General features: G+C 45.8%; 2 protein-coding genes and 1 pseudogene across 9 annotated transcripts in view, besides 2 other annotated features; 1 reads left to right on the top strand and 2 right to left on the bottom strand.

The window, feature by feature from the left end:
* Window positions 1–9,183, bottom strand: part of MOSMO (modulator of smoothened) — an 84,542-nt gene extending 75,359 nt beyond the window's left edge. For all 4 annotated transcript variants that reach the window (XR_007064906.1, XR_007064907.1, XM_047434583.1 and 1 more), the window contains exon 1: window positions 8,887–9,183. Coding sequence is in view for 2 of the 4 variants with exons in the window: in NM_001164579.2 (NP_001158051.1) it covers window positions 8,887–8,992 (106 nt within the window). In the remaining 2 variants the exon portion in view is untranslated. The remainder of the gene's footprint in view (window positions 1–8,886) is intronic.
* Window positions 9,152–9,391: a silencer, noted in NCBI's record as "silent region_7258". NCBI's record gives its function as "represses an Ori minimal core promoter by ATAC-STARR-seq in GM12878 lymphoblastoid cells {active_cell/tissue: GM12878}" and the evidence as "EXISTENCE:reporter gene assay evidence [ECO:0000049][PMID:35858748]".
* Window positions 15,983–16,032: an enhancer, noted in NCBI's record as "active region_10565". NCBI's record gives its function as "activates an Ori minimal core promoter by ATAC-STARR-seq in GM12878 lymphoblastoid cells {active_cell/tissue: GM12878}" and the evidence as "EXISTENCE:reporter gene assay evidence [ECO:0000049][PMID:35858748]".
* PDZD9 (PDZ domain containing 9) overlaps window positions 16,178–23,354 on the top strand; it is a 43,577-nt gene continuing 36,400 nt past the window's right edge. For 2 of the 5 annotated variants that reach the window (XM_017023109.2, NM_173806.4), the window contains exon 1: window positions 16,178–16,277. In XM_017023109.2, the coding sequence (XP_016878598.1) occupies window positions 16,247–16,277 (31 nt within the window). In that variant the 5' untranslated portion in view covers window positions 16,178–16,246. Of the gene's footprint in view, window positions 16,278–20,792; window positions 20,973–21,985; window positions 22,057–23,354 lie in introns of those variants that run through there. The other 3 variants (NM_001370530.1, NM_001363519.1, XM_047433888.1) reach the window with 3 other exon arrangements.
* LOC100420536 (islet cell autoantigen 1, 69kDa pseudogene) lies at window positions 17,859–18,486 on the bottom strand (annotated as a pseudogene).

Genomic DNA, 23,354 nt, shown 5'->3' with positions numbered 1-23,354 from the left:
GAGAAGCATATCAAACACGGTCACTATGTAAATAATTATGCATTCAGGTTGCACGAACAAGTTCTTATTTATAATTCAATGGTGACAATTTCATAAACAGGAACACTTCATTACATGTCTAAATTTCCCCTATAAGATTATGCAATATGGCCCACCACCTAAGTATGCATTGAAATGGGTTATGGAAAAAATGAACTCACAGTTGCATTACAGAAGCTAGTAACTAGAAAAAAATTTATTCCATAAACTAAATCTTCAGCTATATCGCTTGCCAGGTTTCTATAAAGAACCAACTATCTCATATATTTCAAACTTATTTTCACACTTTGAGGTGAGAAAAATTGACTTGATACTCCAACTGTACTACCAGCTCTTAAATTCCTTTAAAACTAACCTCTGAACTAAATGATCTTAACAATACACTGTGGTTAATATTCTTTAACCCACAGGAGAACAAAGTTGGAGTCTAAACCTGCATAACTATTGGAAGTGCTGAAAGAGGTATTAATCAGGTCTGAATGATATAATTTTCATTAATAAAAACCCTCAACTGCAACTTGTCTAAGATCAATTACACGGCTCGTAAATAGTAGGACAGGGACTTGGCTACATGTTGGTTTGCCCCAAAGCCCGTGTGCCATTTCCACTATGCTAGGCTGTCTTTCACTTAGAAAACCTCTTCAATCTGTTCCAGAAACATAAAAACCCAAGTACTCCTTGGTTTTGGTAGTTACATGTGTCCCATAAGTGTGTATTACCACAACAACTGACTATGCAGTCTCTCTTCCCAGATTGGACCCAGCTGGGTTCACGAACATTCAAATACAGACACATTATGTTGCCTTAAATCTCTTTCTGGAACAAGGCAGGTATAAGTAAATAAATAAGACAGACAGTACAAAAGGGAAACACTAAAAATCCAGATGTTTTGAGCTTTTATGTAATAAATGACTAACATTTGAGCATTTACTAAGTATCGGACAATGTGCTAATCTCTTATATGCCACATTTTATCTCCTCACAACTATCCTTTGAGGTAAATGTATTGTCTCCATTTTATAGCTGAAAAATCAAATTACATGCCCCAAATCATAAAGCTAATAAAAAAGGAATCCAAGAATCAAATAGAGATATGCCTGACTCCAAATCCTACAGAACCATTTTACTATACTGCAACTCCAATACAAACTCAGTATTTACCAGGAAAGGGATTAAACAATGATGTTTTTGGTCACACTAAGCAGAACAGTGGAGAACTGATATATGTAACTATTACTATGCAAAATTTGAAAGGGGTTCTGGCAGCCAAATAAGGAAGGACTCAATAAGTATGGCCAATCTAACAAATGCATCAGCAGTCTTTACTCTAATTTTTTTTCTTCTGAATTTCCTTCTTTTAGTGATTTCCATTTACTCATGCCTGCTGTTCATGTTCTTCATCCTAAATTCCCCTTCTCCAAAAACATTTAGGCTTATTTATAGTCTTAATTCTGAAGTGGCTCCATCTCTGTTGGTAATGATAAAAGAGATGATGTTTGGAACTAAGGTTGTAAAGGAAATATTAATGCTTTGTTCAGGAGATCTAATTTCCTATTGGAAAATCTAGTCCACTCTGGGAATTCACAGTATCATAAATGATCTCAAGCTTTAAGCATGTCCTGTGAGTACTGTAAAAAGACCGGTTTTTGAATTTTTATTGATAATTATTACTTGATATGCTGAAATAGATTATACTGATAATGTCACTTTTTAAAAAATCACATTTAAAAAACATCTTTAATCACTTTATCTTCATAGACTTTTATGCTTGGAAGTAAAAAACTGAGTGGTCCAAATGTCCACCAACTGATGAATGGCTAAATAAATGTGGTCTATCCATATAATGGAATACTTGGCAATAAAAAAGAAATACATAGCTAGGTGTGGCAGCGTGCATCTATAGTCCCAGCTACTTGGGAGGCTGAGGCTGGAGGATTGCTTGATCCCAGGAGTTTGAGCCTGGGAAACACAGCAAGAGCCTGTCTCTTAAAGAAAAAAAAAAGTCATAACATGTATGAACTTTGAGAACATTATGCTAAGTTTAAGAAGCCTGTCACAAAGGATCACATAGATTCTATGATTGGAAATGTCCAGAATAGGCAAATCAACAGACAGAAAGCATATTAGGGGTTGCCTAGGAGGCTAAGAGGCACCTCTTAGCCTGGTCTTGGAGTAATGAAAATGTTCTGAAATGGACTATGGTGATGGTAGCACACAACTTTATGAAGATACTAAAAGCCACTGATTTGTATACTTTAAATACTTTATTTGTATACTTTAAATGGATGAATTTTAGTATTATGTGAATTACATCTCAATAAAGCTCTTTAAAAAAAATTTACTGGAAATAGGCTCAAAAGGCCAATGAAGAAATATTATTAATGCTTTTTAAATTCAAGGACAACACAATCTCAAAATGTTTGCCCTTTTAGGTAACCAAATCCTGTCCTCTATAAATCATGTCCAAAGTGATTAATAAAATAAAGTTTGAGATAGGTTTGTTTAACAACTGATGTTACAGAGTTCTTTCATGTCAAAGTACCTTTGTGACCTTTGAAGTTGTTACAGTTCCAGGGAAAGGACTAATGATTTAATCATTTTCTATTACTTAATAAACAGGTCTGCTTGAGCAACTTGTAATTTTAGTGTTTTAAACTGAGGATCCCCAGTGCATAGGCTGGGATCTACCTGTAGATCTTGAACCCTTATGAGATAGATGTCAAGCACCACAGTCCCTTATCTGAGGTTTACCAGATTTTCCTATGAAGTAGGTAGGAGGTAGCAGAATAGGAAATGATACCCCTCACCAAGGCTTTCACTTCCCTGAACACCTGCCAATCTTTAGACCTGAAGAAAATGAAAACTCTTCCTCACAAAATGCTAGACATATAGTGGGTTTTAAACACATAAGGCTTTCTCCTTATTCCCGATTTTATTATCCATGAGCAATGGAGACCGGGGGAGAGGACAGAATCCTGTTGGCATAATACTTTTAGCTCATTTGTGTCTCCTCACTCAATCCTTGTCAGGTCACAAGGACTGACTTCATCTGACTGGTAGTTTAGGAGAAAATGGGCATATGTGATCCAACATTTTGTCTTTGGAAGCACTCATCTCTCCTCTGTCATGCTGGAAGTGTTATAGGGGCAGTTCCCCCAGTTCTGTCTGGGACTGGATTGTTAAGTCTGCTCAATTTTAAGGTCCAGGAGTAGGACGTCACGTGCCCCCAAATGTAAGTGACATTCTCCAATATCCTCTTTCTTAGTAATAAAATAATATTTTAGCCCCTAAATACCTTATTTCTTTTTTGCCCCTCAACTAGTTCAGAATACAAGCAGGGAAAAACATGTCAGTTTTTGAGATTCCCCCCCCCCAAACAGTAACATCCCATCTAGACAATTTTAAAAACAACAAGAATGAAAATATCTTCAGAAATGAATACACTAACCTTAACTTCGTTATGACAAACTATAACATGAATATGATAACCACTTTAGGGAAATTTTGACGAGACATAAGGGAGAAGTTCTTTCAGCTACTTGAAAGAGACTTTTGGGGAACATCTGGAAATCTTCATAAAGAACATAAGGCAAATCTATCTAGGATGATTAGGATTACGGTCACTGAAATCCTTGCTGTGAGGGGATAATGCCTTCCTCACTAAAGGGATCTGCAGACCATTTATATTTATCAGAGACGCAGCTTTACTTAACTGTTTATCTTGTTAAAATTAACTAACACTAATTTTTCCCCCTGACAAAAAGTCTCTTCAGGGGTGAGAAGAGAGTGACAGTGAAATTAAGAAGCTTGTACAAAGCAAAGACCCCCAAGTCTCCTTCTTTCCCTCTTCTGTAATCTGGGAAAACCTCCAGCCACTGAAGAATTTTAATTTCATTTAAGATAAGTAAAAGGTGTGCATAAATAACATATAGGTAATACTTCAGTGAAGAATTTTCTTCAATGGAATCTTTGCAGCACTGAAACTCAAATCTCACATGCAAAGCACTACCATGTGGGGGAAAATGTGAAAATGACTATTTTACATTGGCCAAATATAAACATCCTAAGGAATCAGATCAAGTAATGGATGTCAAAGTGCTTCAAAAACTATGAAGCATTATATAAAATCAAAGATATTCCTATTGGTGTTGAGTTCCAGTAACCAGCAGAAATTTGACCTTAGCATAGCAGAATTATGTAATTTTGCCACTGTATTCATCTACATTTAATATTTCTGGTTACACTAACACAAACAGTCTTCATTAGAGTGCCTTCCCCCATACATACAATATGTTTCAGATCTTCAAAAGTTTGTGCATAATCCACAAGCCATTACAAGAAGTAGATGAAATGTTAATCACACAGGTGAAAATAAAAGGGATGTACTTTCTCTGTATCTAGACCAAGACAATAAAAACATGAAAAACTCTGCTGTCCAAAGTATGGTCCATAATCTTATAGTAACAGTTTATCAATAGGGACTTCAGGAAGTTACTCTTTTTTTTTTTTTTTTTTCTATTCCTTCTATGGTAGTTCAAGTAGAAGCTGAGAACAGAGATTAGAGTATGGAGAGACTGGAAGAGGAAGAACAGCACGGAAGTGACAGAGAAAGTCCAAAGCCAAGAGGGACATATATTTAACTTGTTCTAAGCATGGCTGTATTATTCTTGATGTTTCCTTATTTCCTAGAACATCTAATAGAGAAAAACATCATTTCTCACAGTTCTGGGCTTTCATTTCAAAACTGGATTCTGACACCTGTTCTTATAAACTAGAACAGCAATATAACAATATGTAATTTTTATTGAGCATTTACTGTGTGTCAGGTACTGTTCTAAATGTTTGACATGGGTTAACTCAGTTAATTATCAAAATATCCCAGTGAGATGGATACTTTTATTATCCCTACTTTACACAGGAGGAAACGGAGACAAAGAGAGGCTAAAGAACCTGCCCTAAAGCTACAGAGCTACGAAGTGATGAAGTCTAGACTTGAATTCTGAAACTTTCCCTTAGTAGTTCACTGCCGTGGTTTTCAAGCTACATTCTGCAGACTATTTCAGCTCCAAAAGTTCTACTTCTAAAATACATTTTATCCGGTATAAAAACTGCAATGAAAACATCACAATCAAAACTTTAATAGACTGAATATAATACACCAAAGGGAACCAACACATTAACTTTTTGTTGCCAGGTTAAGTGGCTTTTGTGCAGCTCTTGAAATAAGCTAGACCTGTCACCACTGAGATCTTACTTGAACTTCTTGTAAATGTTTCATTGATTTGGAAGGTGTAACTCTGCACTTTTTTTTTTTTTTTTTTTAACTCAGGACTACATCTGCCTGCTCAGGTGAGACTGTACAGCATACAAGCTCAAGCACAACGGTAAACCAAGGAACATACTGTCCCATTCGTTTTATGTTTTGGGGGGTTTACTGCCTGACATATGTAAGGTAAGAAATACATGCTAGATAAGAATTTTAAAAATTTCCTATGTTCCTAGTATCTCTTATTCCTCTTTCTAGCCATAATATTTAACGGAGTGGTATCCTGAGATGGCAAGGAAAACTTTTAGAAAAAAAACAATCACTTCCTCGATCCCACATCAGCCACACATTGTCACTGTTACACTCTGGACCTTGTGCCTACGATCCCCTGCCATTCCACTTTGCTGGATTGATCACTCCCACTCTGACTGGTCTTCAATTTTATTGGGTCCCCTATTCTACTGGCCATGTACCATTGTACCATCTGCTATTCGACTGAACAATCCATTAGTTTTTATTCATTTTCACTCTTTATCCAGCTGACACTCCATAAGCCATCATTACAATACTTTGGCCACTATCCTAAATACCTTGGCTGCTCTGTCATTTTGTTGCAATGTATCTGGCAAACCCCAACCTTGAATGAAGCCTTCACATTATTCTTTATTATTCATTATTGTATATGAGGCTTTTACATTATTCTTGATGTTTCCTTATTTCCAAGAACACTTGGAAAATTCACCTACCTTAGTACCAAAATGACATAGCACTACTAGAAAAGGTCAAGAGGGCAGATAGGTTATCACACTGTATGTTCATGACCATCAACTTCCACGACGCATCAGTGCTGCTAGACAAACCTACTTATCACCGTTGGCAAGCTTTCTCTGCAATTATTTCGAACAGTTTCTATTTCCTCAGACCTTGGACATCCATTGCTCCTATCTCCATGGCAACTCACAGCCAATTTTGCCTCCAAATTTTAAAGAGTTATACTCATTCTATCCTTGCTTTCTTCTGAATACAAGAGGAGCTTGCCCTTTTTTTTTTTTTTTCTGTTTTCTTTTTAAGACGGAGTACCATTCTGTCGCCCAGGCCAGAGTGCAGTAGCGTGATCTTGGCTCACTGCAACCTCCGCCTCCCAAGTTCAAGCAATTCTCTTGCCTCAGCCTCCCGAGTAGCTGGGATGACAGGCATGCACCACCGCGCCCGGCTAACTTCTTTGTATTTTTAGTAGAGACAGGGTTTCATCATGTTGGCCAGGATGGTCTCAAACTCCTGTCCTCAGGTGATCCGTCCGCCTTGGCCTCCCAAAGTGCTGGGATTACAGGCATGAGCCACCACGCCCGGCTATGCCCTTTTCCATCTTAGGAACGTTATGCTATCACTTATCTTTCTTCTCTTTTATATGTAACAATTCTTCTCTTTCAACTATATCTTTTGCATGGTCATTTAGTCTATTTTATCTATTGGGATTCTATCTAAAACTTCTTTGTAAAAAGATTCCTTCTGCTACAGCACCGAAACCCCTTTTCCCCTAAGTACGTGAAGCCTGAAAGTCTCATAAAAGGAGTCAATACACATGTAAGTAGGATAAAAACATCAACAGGTCACGAACTGGATGTCATACATGTAACCGTGTTAAGTTGTCGGGCAGCAACAATATTTTCATAAACAAAGCCCATAGTACCACCAAATTCGAAACCATCCTGATTCTTCATATCTTTTACAATTAAGAGTTCTGCTAAAACTCTATGGGCAAGAAAAGTAGCAGAATTTTTAGAGTGTTATTTTAATAACCAGTGAATATGACAGCATGATTTTGTGTTACTAGGTCTAGATTGGGGGAGAGAAGGGAGGGAGGAGGAAGCAACAAATGTCCCAGCTACCACTTTTTTTCTAAGAGCTAAAAATATTGCAGGATAAATACAGAACCATAAGTAATACTTAAAAATTAAGTTTTGACAGCACAGTGATGCTTTTCTTTTTCTTTTTTTTGAGACAGAGTCTCGCTCTGTCGCCCAGGCTGGAGTGCAGTAGCGCAATCTCAGCTCACTGCAACCTCTGCCTCCCGGGTTCAAGCGATTCTCCTGCCTCACCTCCTGAGTAGCTGGGATTACAGGTGCACGCCACCATGCCCGGCTAATTCTCTTTTTTTTTTTTTTTTTTTTTTTTTTTTTTTTTGTATTTTTAGTAGAGACGGGGTTTCGCCATGTTGGTCAGGCTAGTTTCGAAATCCTGACCTCCTGATCCGCCCGCCTCGGCCTCCCAAAGTGCTGGGATTACAGGCGTGAGCCACCGCGCCCGGCCGCATTTTTATAAGAAATTATCCATGGAGGGAGCTTGACATTCCCAACCCTCCAAAAGTTCCTTCACCTGCACTGAACAAGCAGTTAAAAAACAAGACCATTCCTTAAATCGGAGCAGCTCTCCTGACAGCTGTTTACATTAATTAAGGTTTGGTCTCACAGGTCTGGGAGAGAGGGAGAAAGAGAGGCGGGGGAAGAGGGGAGGGAGAAGAGGTAACAGGGAAAGAAGTGGCCCAAGCTGAGAAAAATCTTGGAAGCGCATTCACCTGGGGTACCCTTCAGAAAGATGCCCGCCTCTTTCCCGAGGGCACCACCTTGCCTCTCCCGCCCACAGCTCCGTGGTGGTACAGCAAGCACTGCTCCCGCTGCCGGGCTGCCTGCAACTGTAATGTGTTATTTAATTTTGTAACTACTATTAAGAGCTCTCCAGCGTTTTTGTGATGCGCTGGAATGAAAGACGCTCCATAAAATGAGGTTTATTATTAGTAGTATTATAGCTCCCGGGCCTAAAATAAAGCAGAATTATAACCACATACACACTTCAAAGGGAAAATCCGAAGCCACAAGCTTCTCAAACATTGCCAAGCGGGCAGGGGATGGGCGGGGGCGGCGGTGCAGAGGGGCTCCAATCCGGCGCCCCCCACTCCCACCAACCCCACCAGCTCTCCCAGCACCCACCATTCACCCTGCCTGGTGGGGTCAGCGCCCGCAGCCCGGGCTCGCCCCCGGCCGCAGCTTCCTCTGGTGGTGGAGGGTCTGGGGTCGGACCTGATCCCTCTCGGCCTCCCCTCGCCCACCAGCTCTCTAGTGGCTCCCGCACTGCCCCGCAGGCTGCCTCACTCTCAGCCCTAGCCTCTCCGCCTGGTTTCTAATTCCCTTGCAGGAGCCTCAGTTTCCTCCCGTCTCCCACCTTGACTTTTTTTTTTTTTTTTTTAATCCAGAACGAAGCTCATTCCTCTGCGATCCCTCACATCGGAGGGCTGCTCCCCTCCTCCCCGGTCCGGGACTTGCCAGCCCAGCCCAGGTCTCCTCGGCCACTTTTCACCCGGCCTGGGGCGCCTCTCCCCTCAGCCCGGGGGTCCCGCTGGCGCCCGGCGGCTTCCTCTCCTCCATCCCTTTCCTCCGCGGCCCGGGTCTCCCCTCCGCCCCCGGTCTCCTCAGGCTAGCCTCCGGCCGGGACCCTCCACCCCGTCCTCTCCTCAGTCCGGGTCTCCCCTCTCTCGCGTCGCCCTCAGCCAATCCCCCGCCCGGCCCGGCGCGCCAGCGGCTCACCCGCAGACTCCCCGGTGTTGATCCAGTCCGGGTTGGCGATGCTGGCGATGGCGAAGATATCGGCGGCCAGAAAGAGACATCCTGAGATGATGGTCAGTTTATCCATCTCCCCGCCCCGCTCCCCCCACCCCCCGAGCCCCGGACAGGCAGCGGCCTCACGCCTCCCGCCCCATGGGCCGCCGCCGGGGCCCGGAGTCCCCGCGCCGCTGCCTCGCGCCCCCTCGGCCCCCGCGCGCCGCTCGCGCCCTCCGCGCGCCCGGGACCAGCAGCCGCGGCGCGGCCCGCACAGACGGAACCGCCGCCCGCCCCGGAACTGCTCGGCCCGCCCGCCCCTCACCCGGAAGCGAAGCCGCGGCGTTGGCGAGGCCGGTCCCGGCTCCCCAGCCGCCGCGCCCCAGCTCCGTCCTCCCGGCTCGGCCGGCCGCCCTGGGCCCCTCCCCGCACCGCCCGCCTCTACGTTCTGGACCCGGACCCGACCGGCCCGGCTCCGGTCCCTGCCCGGGTCCCGGTCTCTTCTGGCAGGCCACGCCACCTCTTGGCTTTCTGCCCACTAATAAGATTGTTGATGTTGATGACTGGGCACAGGCTGCGGCCCCTCCTGAGCCCCTCAGAAGCAAAACTGGAATGAGAGTGGGGAGCTGCCCGTCTTCCAGCAGGAGGCGGGCCCCGACTCCCGCCGAGCGACTCCGGGCCCCGCGCGGTCCCTGTCACCTTGTATTCTCATTGCCCGTTCCGCGGCCGTCAGCTCCCAGGATTGCCCCATTTAGCAAATAGCTTTCGACAACCCCTCTTCGTCAGACGTTGTAGGTGCAGAGGTGCTGGAGTGGACAGAGGCAAGGCGCCCGCTCTTGGGGAGCTCACGTTCTGGTGGGAAGAGACAGAAACACATTAAGAACCTATCTGTAAAATAAAGATAATTTCAGGTGCAGATCCCTGAATTCAATGGAGGTCAGTGTGATGGGAGTCGGAGCGATACCTGCGATAGGGAAGGATGCATTTCCGCTGAGACCATCACGATCGTAAAGATCTGCACTTTGAAGACCTGGCGCAAGACCAGACAGAGGGAACAGCCAATGCAAAGATCATTAGGGGAGGGGGGCAGAAAGAGATCAGCGTGTCCAAGGAATTGCAAAATGGCCTGTGTGGCAGGAGAGTAGTATGACAAGAGGTAGGCAGAGGCTAGGTGTAGGGCTTTGGGGGCCTTGGATTTTGTTCTGAGTGCAATGAGAAGGCAATGGAGGGTGTTTGCAGAATCCCATGATCTTACTTAATCTGTGAAGATCCATAGTGTAGCTTGTATGGGGGAAAGGCAAAGATGACAACAGGGACGCCAGTTAAGAGGCCAAGTAGTCCACGAGAGAGAAGTGTAGCTTTGGCTAGGGTGAGAGTAGTGAAGATGGAGAGGAATGGACAGATTTGGATGTTTTGTAGATAGAGGGAAGGACCTGCTGATAATGGGGAAGGAGTTGAAAGAGAACTCAAGAATAAGTTTTTGACCTGAGCAACCAGGTGTTATGATCCCGTTTACTGAGTTGTGTGTGCAGCGTCTTAAGTTGGATGAATAAACAGGAAAATAAGGCATTTGCATAATTTGTCAGCATATGCTATGGTGGAGGTTTTCTTTTCTTCCACAGCTCATGGGCCGAATCACCACTAACCCTGACGTTTGATCCAGCTCTCCCTAATGGTACTCCGTGCAGCAGATGGAGATGAAACACTCATTTTCTCCTTAAATGCCACATAGGTCGTCTCTAGAAGGACCTAGAAGAGTGACATCTGTCTCTATTTTTGGAATGCTTACATGTCCACAAAATTCAGGAGGTTTCAAATTCCACCAAATCCAACAGCCTTGCAGAAATGTGCAACAGAGTATCAGTGTCACTACATAGCTGGGAGAAGGAAGGGTTTGATTGCTGGTCTATATTGACTTTTCTGTCCAAACATTGGTCTCTTGGGGGAAAGGTTTTTTTTTTTTGTTATTATACAATTTATTTTTCCTCTGCCACAGAAATTGACACAAGATAATTCATATACTCCAAGGATCCAGATATAATGCATATCACATTACTGCAATAGTCTTCAGTTTCTTTTTTCTTTTCTTCTTTTTTTAAATAAGTACTGGAGAAATTTAATTGAGTCATATTTGGCTTCTTGTTGGGGTTTTCTATTGCCCAGTGATAGAAGAAACTGTAACTATACAGGACTAAATTCCCAGATAATATCCACTGATGTTCTCTACTGGCCAGCTTAGAAGAATCCTAGGGCTGAATGTTTGAACAGTTTGCACATATTCTAACTCCAGCTGAATAGAATGATGATGATTGGGTTCTTGTGTTTACAATAAATACAAGTAGCCAAGCGTGGTGGTTTGCACCTATAATCCCAGCTACTCCAGAAGCTGAGGTGGGAGGATCACTTGAGTCCAGCAGTTCAAGACCAGCCTGGACAACACAGTGAGACCCCTGTCTCTAATAAATAAAATAAATAAATAATACAGTTCTTCCTTTTACCCTTTACAAATGGTTCTGGGTCTAAGATTAAAGCACAAGAACAACCAGTATTGAGTTAAAAGAATTTAAAACATTTTTATCATACTAATGGCTGCACATCAGTACAGAGAATAGTCACCTATCCCAAACCTTCCTACCATCCAGAATGGGAGGTGGGGTTGGCAGGGGCCAAACTGTTTACAGATTTCCCATTAATCCCTCTTTTTATCCCTATAGCTCTTTTCTTTTCTTTCTTTCCTTTTTTTTTTTTTTTTGTCAGAGATAGGGTCTCACTATGTTGTCCACGCTGGATTTCAACTTCTGGCCTTAAGTGATCCTCCCACCTCAGCCTCCCAAGTAGCTGGGACTACAGGCCCACACCACTGTGCCTGGCTGGTGTTTCAGAGTCCCCAGTCTCTGAGGTCTGCAGGACAGATCAGTCCCCTTCTCTCTGTATCTCAGTCTAGATTTTAGCAGAGGCAAACCCTAAGGGTTTGGGAGAGGTGATGGAGTGAAGCAGAGAGAATACAGAACTATGTTCTAGTTCCTGCCCTGCTCCTGACTTGACCTTGGGAAAGCCATGTCACCTCTCTGGGCCTTTTACCCCCATCTGGCCTAACAAGACTCCTGGCCTCGGTGACAGAAGCGTCCCATCCTCTCACCCACCCCTAAGCAGAGCAGCTGGGACTTTTCAGAAATGAGCCACAAGACTCCTTATGGCAGAAAGCCTTGGGGACCCAGAAGAACATAGAAGGCTTCCAGGAGGGAGATATGCTGTGCAGCCTGAAGTCATAAACAGCCATTCTGCAGCTGTTAAAGGGCCATGAACATGGCATGCTCTATTGTGATGGATGGCAGGCCTTGGCCAGAAGAGGCTGAATCCAGATGGGACCACGGGCAAAGCTGTGGAAGGGACTGTGTGATCACTCTTCTCTTTAAGGAGTATCTTCAGCCTGACAATAAACACACTGTCTCCCTAGGGGTTAGGTTTCGTGGGCCAAGAGCATGGTGGACGCACCACACATGTACCTGGGGTTTCTGGGGTTAGAGAAGACACAAGAAACTAAATCCAGAGTTAGCAGCTTGCGCCCGGGCTCAAATCTCAGTTTGTTTCATGGATTGGTTCCCTTTGAGCTGACTCAGAAATGCGATTATTGATTAGTGCAGAAAGTTTATTAGAGAGCCTTTGAGAATCAAGTCCTATGGGGAAAGGGAAGCAGGGGTGGGAAGAGGGAGAAGTCAGTCTGTGCTGCAGTCATGGGAGGCTTTGGCAGACCCCCAGGGGAGTTCTGAAACTAGGATAGCTGCTGAGTTGGCCTGAGTTGGAGTAAATGGGCCAAGTCTTTTCATCCCTGCACTGACCTGCCATGGAGCTTGGAGGGCAGCTCTCTTTAGACAAAGACAATTCCTCAAGAGGGCTGACAGCTGAGATCTGTCAACCTACCACCCACCCGGTAGGCGGGGAATAGTCCTTCAGTCCTGACCGAGGCAGTGTAGTGCAGCATTTGCAATAGTGCCCACATGGTGCTGTGCCTCTCATTTGCTACTTAAGTTTGGAGAGCAGCACTTTCAGGACCCTGGGGAATCTTTTCCTGTGGGAAACATATAGAGGAGGGTTAGTGGGAACTACAGCTCCTGCCGCCGCTACAGCTCATCTAGAGGCATAACGAACATACCCTTCAGTCCCCTCTTCTATCCATCCTAGAAACCTCTTCCCTTCTGCCAGCACCTCAGATGATCTAGGTGGCCTGCGTGATGGGGTGGTCTAGACCTCCATCCTTAGAGAGCCTGAGCACCTAGTTGCTGTGCACTTCTCAGGCAGTGGTTGCTGCATTTGTCCATTTACTGTCCAAATAGGGCAAAGGAGTACTAAGAGACACCTAAATAGATCACGTGGGTGCCCAATGTTCCTCCCTGCCCTGATGTGAAGTCTCAGCCTGATTCCTTCCCGGTAATTGAATACTCTTGTCTGCTTTCTCCCCCTGGTATACCATCCCATTTACTGCCTGTAAAAAATTAGCCATCTTAGAGTTTCCCTCTGCCAGAGGCTAGCTATGCTCCTCCTGTACCAGGGATGGGCACCTCATTATTACCTGGGTATTAGGTGATCCATCCTAGCATCTACTCTTTGGAAGAAGGAATAAAGCAGGGTCCGGGCGTGGTGGCTCATGCCTGTAATCCCAGCACTTTGGGAGGCTGAGGCGGGCAGATTACCTGAGGTCAGGAGTTTGAGACCAGCCTGGTCAACATGGTGAAACCCCTGTCTGTACTAAAAATACAAAAATTAGCTGGGCATGGTGGTGGGTGCCTGTAATCCCAGCTACTCAGGAGGCTGAGGCACGAGAATTGCTTGAACCTGGGCAGTGGAGGTTGCAGTAAGCCGAGATCACTCCACTGCACTCCATCCTAGGCAACAGAGTGAGACTCTCTCTGAAAAAAAAAAAAAAAAAAAAGGAATGAAGCAGGACAGGGCAGAGGGAAAAGTAAGGCTGCAGTGGACCACGTGGGGAGTTCTGAACCTGGGATGGCCCTGCATTGACCAGTCACCAGATGCTAGTTAATCTAGGAAGGTGAGATCTTGGGCAAGGCGTTCTTTCCAGCCAGTAGTAGTAGTGAGGGTGGGAAGTGTAAGTCTTTCAGCCCTGAAGGGGGATCTGGGCAGCACAGCACCCAGGACAGTTTGTATCCTGCAGTTCCACCAATCAGTGTGACCTTGGCTTACTTGGCTTGGTGGAGTGTAGAGACCTCCGCTTTAAAGACACTTTTTAGCCTGGGGTGGAGGGAAGACTAAGGGGAGGCCAGGCACTGATATGCTCCATCACAGAACCATATATGCTGATGGGCTCTATTCCCACAAACTCTTACCCTTCCCCTGCTGGTAGGAAGATGGAGGAAAAAGATGTATTTTATGATAGAATTAAGTTGGTATCTATGTAGACCCCTGCCAGACTGTTTGGAAGAGGAAAGGTGACCTGTCACAAGAAGTCACCCACAGGAGACTTGAGGTGGAGAATAGCCCTTTGTACTGGTCTCTACGACACAGGTTTTATCTAATGAGAAATCTGTCCTGGCGCTCACGCCTGTAATCCCAGCACTTTGGGAGGCCAAGGCGGGTGGATCACCCTGAGCTCAGGAGTTGGAGACCAGTCTGGCCAACATGGCAAAACCCTGTCTCTACTAAAAATACAAAAATTAGCTGGGCGTGGTGACACAGGCTTGTGGTCCCAGCTACTCTGGTGGCTGAGGTGGAAGGATCGCTTGGGCCTGGAAGGCGGAGGTTGCAGTGAGCTGAGATTTTGTCACTGCACTCCAGCCTGGGTGACAGAATGAGACCCCATCTCAAAAAAAAAAAAAAAAAAAAGGAACCTAAAGAGGAATCTGCCCTGGCTTATTGTCTGTGTAGAGCCACAGAAACAACAGAATAAGCTTGGACATAACCAGATCTACCATGGAAATCTTTGCACAGTGCCTGACACCTAATAGGTGGTTAATGACTGTTTGTTGAAGGGATGGGGCAAGGTGCTTAGCCTCTCAGTTTCATCAGACCGGGGATAACACCAGGGCCTACCTCATTAGGTTTTCTCTTTCTTCTAGAATTTACTAACTCATTTATTCATTTTTATTTTTTGAGACAGGATCTTGCTCCATCACCCAGGCTGGAAGGTGGTGACTCAATCATAGCTCACTGCAGCCTTGAATCCTGGGCTCAAGTGATCCTCCCATCTCAGCCTCCTGAGTAGCTAGGACTACAGATGTGCACCACCATGCCCAGCTAATTTTTAAATTTTTTTTATAGAGAAAGGGTCTCACTATGTTGCCCAGGCTGATCTCAAACTCCTGGGCTCAAGCAGTCCTCCTGCCTCAGTCTCCTGAGTACCTAGGATTACAGGTGTTAGACACCACACCTGGCCTAGAATTTATTTTTAATAATTTATATTTTCCTAAAATTGTCCACTTCATCTGTTTTTTAAGTACAGGTTTCAAGAGGATAGAGCCTGTGTTTCTGTGTTTGTCTTGCTTACTGTTGTGTCCCCAGTATCAGTAAATGACAGAACAGCTCCCTGTAAATACTTGTTGTATGAGTGAATGTGTGTGGGAGGAAGAATTATCTTGGAAAAAAGAAGGAAGCATTAATAGTGCCTCTCCTAATAGTGACTCATTTTTTTTTAGGCCACCCTGGGGCCTTTTCTTATTCAAAACATTCATGAAAAAAAGTGCAGTTCCAAAGCATTGGAGCTACTGATGTAACAATTTTTTTAAAATACCATTATTAGAAGTGCAGCGGGGGATTCTCTGATCTTCTAGGTATTCTGTGATCTCCTGTGATCTTCTGGCTGTGATCTTCCTCTGCAGACCACCTCACATCTTTGAGACACCCTCCTCTGTGCCTTCTCCCCCTCCCTATTTCTTAGGTTCACCAAGAATGAATGAAGAAGCCAAGCGCGGTGGCTCATGCCTGTAATCCCAGCACTTTGGGAGGCTGAGGCGGGCAGATCGCTTGAGCCCATAGTGCAACAGTTGTGTTGAGCCTGAGCAACATAGTGAGACCCCCACCCCCTGCCCGTCTCTTAAAAAAAGAAAAAGAAAAGAAGGAATGAAGAAACCACCGTGGGTCAGGCACGGTGCTAACCTCTGCAGAAGTTTCCATACAGTACAATGGTGTGCAATGCCCACGCCACGTTTTGCAGGGTCCACGGGAAGCCTTGCGGCGACCTCACTGCCGCCCAATTTCTGGGCAGTGGCGGCGCAGCGCCCCCTGGCGGCCATCCCGAGGGCAGTGCCCGCGGGCAAGGTTCGAAACTGTTGGCATTGGGACTGACTCCAGCCTCTGCTCCGGGAGGCCCTCCCGGGCTGCCTGACCTCCCGGGACCATGCAGAAGGCCTCCCACAAAAACAAAAAAGGTAACTGGGGAGAAGGAAGCGGGTGAAGAAGCCCTGGGGACCAAGCCTTCGTCAATGTTCCTCCTCTGTAAAATGGCAACGGTGCACTCTTGGCCTGGGAGATAACCTCTCTCCATCGTTGTTGTTATCATCATCATCATTATCATCATCATCATCATCATCATCATCATCATCATCATCATCATCATCATTTGAGAAGGAGTCTTGCTTTGTCCCCCAGGCTGGAGTGCAGTGGCGCGATCTCAGCTCACTGCAACCTCTGCCTCCCAGGCTCAAGTGATTCCTCTGCCTTAGCCTCCCGAGTAGCTGGGATTACAGGTGCCTGCCACCATGCCCAGCTAATTTTTTATTTTTAGTAGAGATGGGATTTCACCATGTTGGCCAGGCTGGTCTCAAACTCCTGACCTCAAGTGATCCGCCCGCCTTGGCCATCGTTATTTTTATCAAGGTATAATTTCCATGCAGTAAGATCCCCCCTTTTAAAAGTACAGCTACCGTTTTGACAAGCTATACCCACGTTGAACCACCCCCTCCATCAAGATAGGGAACAGTTCCACCACTCCCTAAAATTACTTTGCAATGCCCAGTTGCAGCCAAACCCCACCCCACTGCAGCTCCTCACACCCCCATCTGTTTTTTACAGCGTTTTTTTTTTTTTGCCTTTTCCATGGAGAACATCATAAAAATGAAATCACATAGTAAGGAGCCTTTAAAAAATTATACCAATGTAAATAGGGACTTTGGCCCTTTCATTTTTATTAAAAGGGCACATAAATCTTAAAATAGCATATGGGTCACTGTATTTTATTTTTAGAGACAGAGTCTTGTTCTGTCGCTCAGGCTGGAGTGCAGTGGTATGCTCCTGGCTCACTGCAGCCTCCAATTCTTGGGCTCAAGCAATCCTCCTGCATCAGCCTCCCATAGCTGGGACTGTAGGCATGCACCACCACATTCAGCTAATTTTTTTTTTTTTTTTGAGACAGAGTCTTGCTCTGTGACCCAGGCTAGAGTGCAGCGGCATGATCTTGGCTTACTGCAACCCCCGCCTTCCAGGCGGGTTCAAGCGATTCTTGCCCCTCAGCCTCCAGAGTAGCTTGGATTACAGGCGTGAACCACCACGCCTGGCTGATTTTTGTGTTTTCAGTAGCAACGGTGTTTCACCATGCTGGCCAGGCTGGTCTCGAACTCCTGACCCCAAGTGATCCGCCCACCCTCGGCCTCCCAAAGTGCTGGGATTACAGGTGTGAGCCACCATGCCCAGCCTAAATAGAAGAGATGAGGTGTCACTATGTTGCCCAGGCTCTAATCACTTTATACTTCTGCTAGCCCCCAGGTGGGCTTACTGAAGGATGCAGACTCCTGCACTGAGCAATTCTTGTTCTTTATGGCTTTTTTCCGCACAGCATCAGGATTTGATAAGACTTGAGGTTGGCAAAGAGGCTGAACTAGGCAGGCAGGTGCCAGACAGCCTTAGGCTTTTTCACTGCAGGGCTGTTGTCATTTGGACTGCTTGTCCTTGGGAAGGTTGACATTGCTGTCTGACTAGCCTTGTAGCAAAACCTGTAAGTCTTTCATATTTTAGTCTGGTGCTTGGGGTCTGGCTCTCCGAGGACCATAGTGCTGCCTCCTCCACCTGGTTGTCCCCAAACACAGCAGCTCACTCTTTTCTGAGCTCACCCTTTTCCAGGGAGGAAGCATTGAAGATCTCACTTTCAACAGCAGTAGGATCATCTTTGTCAGTACCTTCGGGTTCCAGGGTCCCTGCCACTGGGCCCTAGCGAGCACTTTCCTCAGGTTTCATGTCTAATAGTTCATCCTGAGCATGCACTGTGTGAAGAGCCTTTGCCTAAAACACATAAAATACCTTTTCCATCTTCAGTGTTTTCCTTGTCGTGGTTTTCATCCTCTAATGAAATTAATTGACTCAGCTCCTGCACTGTTACATCTGTGCTTTCCTGCTGGGTGAGCTTCTTTTCTTCTTTCTCAACTAGTTTTTTCAGAGGGTTTTGTAAGTGCTTTAAAGTAGTGACTTCATATGGCTGATAACCTGTGAAGCTCTCATGGATGGCTGCCATAGTGTGAGAAGTCTTCTCTCCAAAATGAAGCAGAGTGGTCTGGTATGTTGCTAGCATTTGAGACAGGAGATTGCATGTATTTACTTGCTCCAAGAAAATCTACATCCAACTTCACTTTGTCAAGGTTTTTTTCTCTCTCTTTTTTTTTTTTTTTTTTTTTTTTTGAGATGGAGTCTTGCTCTGTCACCCAGGCTTGTAGCTGGGATTACAGGCATGCACCAACATGCCCAGATAATTTTTTTTTGTTTTTGAGACAGAGTCTCGCCCTGTCACCCAGGCTGGAGTACAATGGCGCCATCTCAGCTCACTGCAACCTCTGCCTCCTGGGTTCAAGCGATTCTCGTGCCTCAGCCTCCCAAGTAGCTGGGATTACAGGCCCGCGCCACCATGCCCAGCTAATTTTTTGTAACTTAGAGACAGGTTTCGCCATGTTGGCCAGGCTGGTCTCGAACTCCTGATCTCGTGATCTACCCGCCTTGGCCTCCTAAAGTGCTGGGATTACAGGCGTGAGCTACCGTGCCTTGCACAAAGTTTTTTTTGTTTTTTTTTCAAGATGTACTTGTGTTTCTTGCCTTCCCGAACTTCTGCATTTGCTTATAGAGGTCTGGATCAAACTCCTGAGACATGTCCTTCTTCTGTAAGGAGCCTTTTGAGTCTGGCTTCTTTTACTTAACCCTGCTGACTTTTAAAAGTGGGCTCCTGGTAGCTTACCTTATAAGCATATTGAATTTACAAACTGAGATAGGAACCACTGGACCTTGCCCAAGATGTGACTTCTCTGTTTGCTCAGGAACCAGAGGCTCAGGCAGGGCGTATCCTGCCCCCAGTTGCTCCCAGAACCCTGAAAGGTCTCTGAAGATGGTATCTTGTTTATATTATGCTATTTTATTTTCCCAAACAGAGAGCATCTGTGGTTTGGGGGAAGGTGAGGTTGGAGATGGGCAAGGACATTTGCTTTAGAGGAAAGGGCCATGAACCCCTCCAGCTCCCCACAGCCAGAGGTAGGGAGCTGGGGGAGCCTCTCCCTCAGCAGTGGCCCTGAAAACACCACAGTCACATGGACTTGGCAAGCTTGTGTGTCACCTGTCCTTATGGAAAGGAGTTGTGTGTGAAATGCTGGAAAAGTGTGCTGAAAACAGATCTCCCCAGGAGCTTCCTGTGTACCGAAAAGGAGTTTCCTAGCAACTTCCTCTTGGGAAATTAACTTGTTGTTTTGAATGTCCTTTTAGTCCCTGAAATTTTTCTTGTGAGATTTGGTTCTGTAGAAAACATATTTCAACCTCTCCCACTACCCCTTGTCTCCAAGGCCTTCGGATTTTCCCCCATGTGCTTTTTGGATCCATCCACTGCTCATTTCCGCTGTCACTGCCATGACATGTGCCAGGACCCTGTCATTTTCATGTCATTTCATTTCATCTAACCATGTCCAGCTTTACTCACTTCGGAGCCTTTTCACTAAGGAAGTCTGAGAAGCAGCCTCTGTCTGGTTGGTCCTCGCTCCTCCTGCCTCCCCCTCCTCTGACAGGGACTGTTCCTTCCTTTCTCAGACCTTAACACAATTTGCTCCGGATCCACCTTTCTTTGCCTAAATATTTCCTATTGGTCCTTTTGGCCTTAATTCAAATTTTAGCCCTGCTGGAAGCTTGACCCGCCATCCCCAGATGAGACTTTGGCCCTCTGTTACTCATTCTCAGAGCCCTCCGTCCTTTTCTTTCATAGCATGAGTTACAGTTTGTTATCCAACATATATTTACATGACTGATTGATATCTGTCCCCTCCACTAGGCTGTAAAATTCATGAGGACAAGAAACACATGTGGGCCAGGCACGGTGGCTCACACCTGTAATGCCAGCACTTTGGGAGGCTGAGGTGGGAGGATTGCTTGAGTCCAGGAGTTCAAGACTAGCCTGGCCAATATAGTGAGACCCTGTCTCTACAAAAACAATAAAAATTAGCCGTGTATAGTAGCACATGCCAGTAGTCCCAGCTACTTAGGAGGCTGAGGTGGGAGGAGCCCTTGAGCCCAGGAGATCGAGGCTGCAGTGAGCCCTGATAATGCTGCTGCACTCCAGCCTGGGCAACAGAGTGAGACATTGTCTGTTAAAACCAAAAAACCCAACACATCTGTTTTGCTCACCATGGTAAACCCAGGGCCTAGCACACTGTATCAATAAATATTTGTTAAGTGAACAGATAATACTAACTAATATTGATTAAGCACTCACAATATGCCAGACTCTGCAAAAGCCCTTTAATGCACCCATTTAATTTTCAGAAGAGCTCTCCAAGGTGAACATTTTTATCCTCATTTTACTGACAAGGAATCTGAGGAACAGGGATTAAATAACTGTCCCAGGGATCTGGCTTCAGAACCCCAGTAGGTATGGCCATGCTTCTGTCTTGGTGAAGGACTGAAATAAGTTCCCCTCTTTTGGTTAGAAAGAGGAGTCAGCAACAAGGTCAAAACATCTGTACACAACTTGAGCAAAACACAGCAGACCAAACTCACTGTGGGTAGCCTGGGATTAGGCCTCATCATCATCCAGCATGGACCCTACCTCCAGATCACCCACCTCATCAGGAAGGGGGCTGCAGCCAACGACGGGAAACTCCAGCCAGGTGATTGCCCTTTCGCCATGCTTCCCAACCACCCATCCTGCCCATCTGCCTGCAGGGTGACTCGGGTCACCGGGTTTCAGTGTAACTATAAGGATATGACGGGCATGCTGGCTCATGCCTGTAATCCCAGCACTTTGGGAGGCCAAGGCGGGGTGGATCACTTAAGGTCAGGAGTTTGAGACCAGCCTGGCCAACATGGTAAAACTTTGTCTCTACTAAAAATACAAAAACTGGCTGGGAGCAGTGGCTCATGCCTGTAATCCCAGCACTTTGGGAGGCTGAGGTGGGTGGATCCTGAGGTAGGGAGTTCGAGACCAGCCTGGCCAACATGGTGAAACCCTGTCTCTATTAAAAATACAAAAATTAGCCAGGCGTGGTGGCACATGCCTGTAATGCCAGCTACTTGAGAGGCTGAGGCAGGAGAATCGCTTGTACCCAGGAAGTGGAGGTTGCAGTGAGCTGAGATCGCGCCACTGCACTCCAGCCTGAGTGACAGAGACTCCGTCTCAAAAAATAATTAAATAAATAAATAAATAAAATAAATACAAATACAAAAATTAGCTGGGCCTAGTGGCGGGCGCCTGTAGTCCCAGCTACTCAGGAGGCTCAGGCAGGAGAATCTCTTGAACCCGGGAGGCGGAGGTTGCAGTGAGCTGAGATGGCAGCACTGTACTCCAGCCTGGGTGACAGAGTGAGACTCTGTCTCAAAAAAAAAGGATATGACATTAGTTGAGAACTTTCTATGGGCCAGCCAATGGCTATCACTTATATAACTATCACTGTTGGGCATATTAATTCATTTAATTCTGGCTGGGTACAGTGGCTTACACCTGTAATTCCAGCACTTTGGGAAGCCAAGGTGGGAGGATCCGTTGATGCCAGGAATTCAAGGCCAGCCTGAGCAACACAGTGAGATGCTGTCTATATTAGTCCGTTCTTGCACTGCTATAAAGAAATACCTGAAACTGGGTCATTTATAAGAAAAGAGGTTTAATTGGCTCATGGTTCTGCAGGCTGTACAGGAAGCATGGCTGGGGAGGCCTCAGGAAACTTACAATCATGGCAGAAGGTGAAGAGGAAGGAGGTATGTCTTACATGGTTGGAGCGGGAGGAAGAGAGAGTAGGGGGAGGTGCTACACACGTTTAAACAACCAGATCTCATAAGAACTCACTCGCTATCACGAGAACAGGAAGGGGGAAATCTGCCCTTGTGATCCAGTCACCTCCCCCCAGGCCCCTCCTCCAACACCGGGGACTACAGTTGAACATGAGATGTGGGCGGGGACACAAATCCAAACCATATCACCATTTCTACAACAAAACGAAAGCAGCCCGGCATGGTGCGTGCCCGTAATCCTAGCTACTCAGGAGGCTGAGGTGGGAGGATCACTTGAGTGCAGGAGGCCGAGGCTGTAGTGAGCTATGATTGTGCCACTGCATGCCAACCTGGGTAACAGAGTGAGACCCTACCTCTAAAAAAAAAAAAAAAATTAAATTTACTTAATGAGGGTCAGTGAGATTGAGTTCCTTGTCCAGGTCACCTGTTTCTCCTAAGTGGGGATTCAGGGACCATGTTACTCCAGAGCTATGGCTCTCAGTGCGTAAAGATATTTTCTTTCGTAGGCAGTATTAAGCATTGCTAACACTTAGCTGCACGATCTCATTTCACTCTCACAATCCCTGAGCTAGATTCTGCATGAAACCACCTTGCAGACAAGGAATCAGATGTTTAGTAACTCTCCCATGGTCACTCTGAGGAGCTGGGATTTGAACCTTCTCTGTCAGACTTCAGAGCCTAAGGGCTTTACCAATACTGCCCTGCTCCTCGTGTCTTTGGGTGAATGAATTTTCCATGCAGTTCAAGAGGTGTTTTCTCAGTGCCTGGCCTGGGCCTAGTACTGTGCCCAGGAGTTGGGGAGGCAGAATGGGCTGGCGCCATGGTGAGAAAGAAAAAACATTGTGTTAGCTGTCCTGATTCAGGCTCAGGGTCTGACACTTTTTAGTTCTGTGACCCTGGGCAAAGCCACTTAACCTTTCAGGCCTTAGTCACCTCATCTTTGAATTGGGATATTCCTGTGTTTGTCAGAGGTTGCGCAGATTTGATGAAATAATGCATGTTTGTTTGATAGATGGGGTATCACTCTGTCACCCATGCTGGAGTGCAGTGGCTTGATCATGGCTCACTGCAGCCTTAAACTCCTTGGCTCAAGTGATCCTCCTGCTTCAGCCTCCTCAGTAGCTGGGACTCAGGCGTGCACCACCATGCCCAGCTAATTTTTATTTTATTTTTTATTTTTTTGTAGACATGGGCAATGGAGGTGGTGGGTGGGTGGTGTCTCACTATGTTGTCCAGGCTGGTCTCAAACTCCTGGCCTCAAGCAA

The sequence above is a fragment of the Homo sapiens genome, chromosome 16 (assembly GCF_000001405.40).
Source record: "Homo sapiens chromosome 16, GRCh38.p14 Primary Assembly".
Classification (NCBI taxonomy): domain Eukaryota; kingdom Metazoa; phylum Chordata; class Mammalia; order Primates; family Hominidae; genus Homo; species Homo sapiens.
The sequence above is the reverse complement of the archived record's forward strand: the minus strand, read 5'-3'. Positions and strand labels throughout refer to the sequence as shown.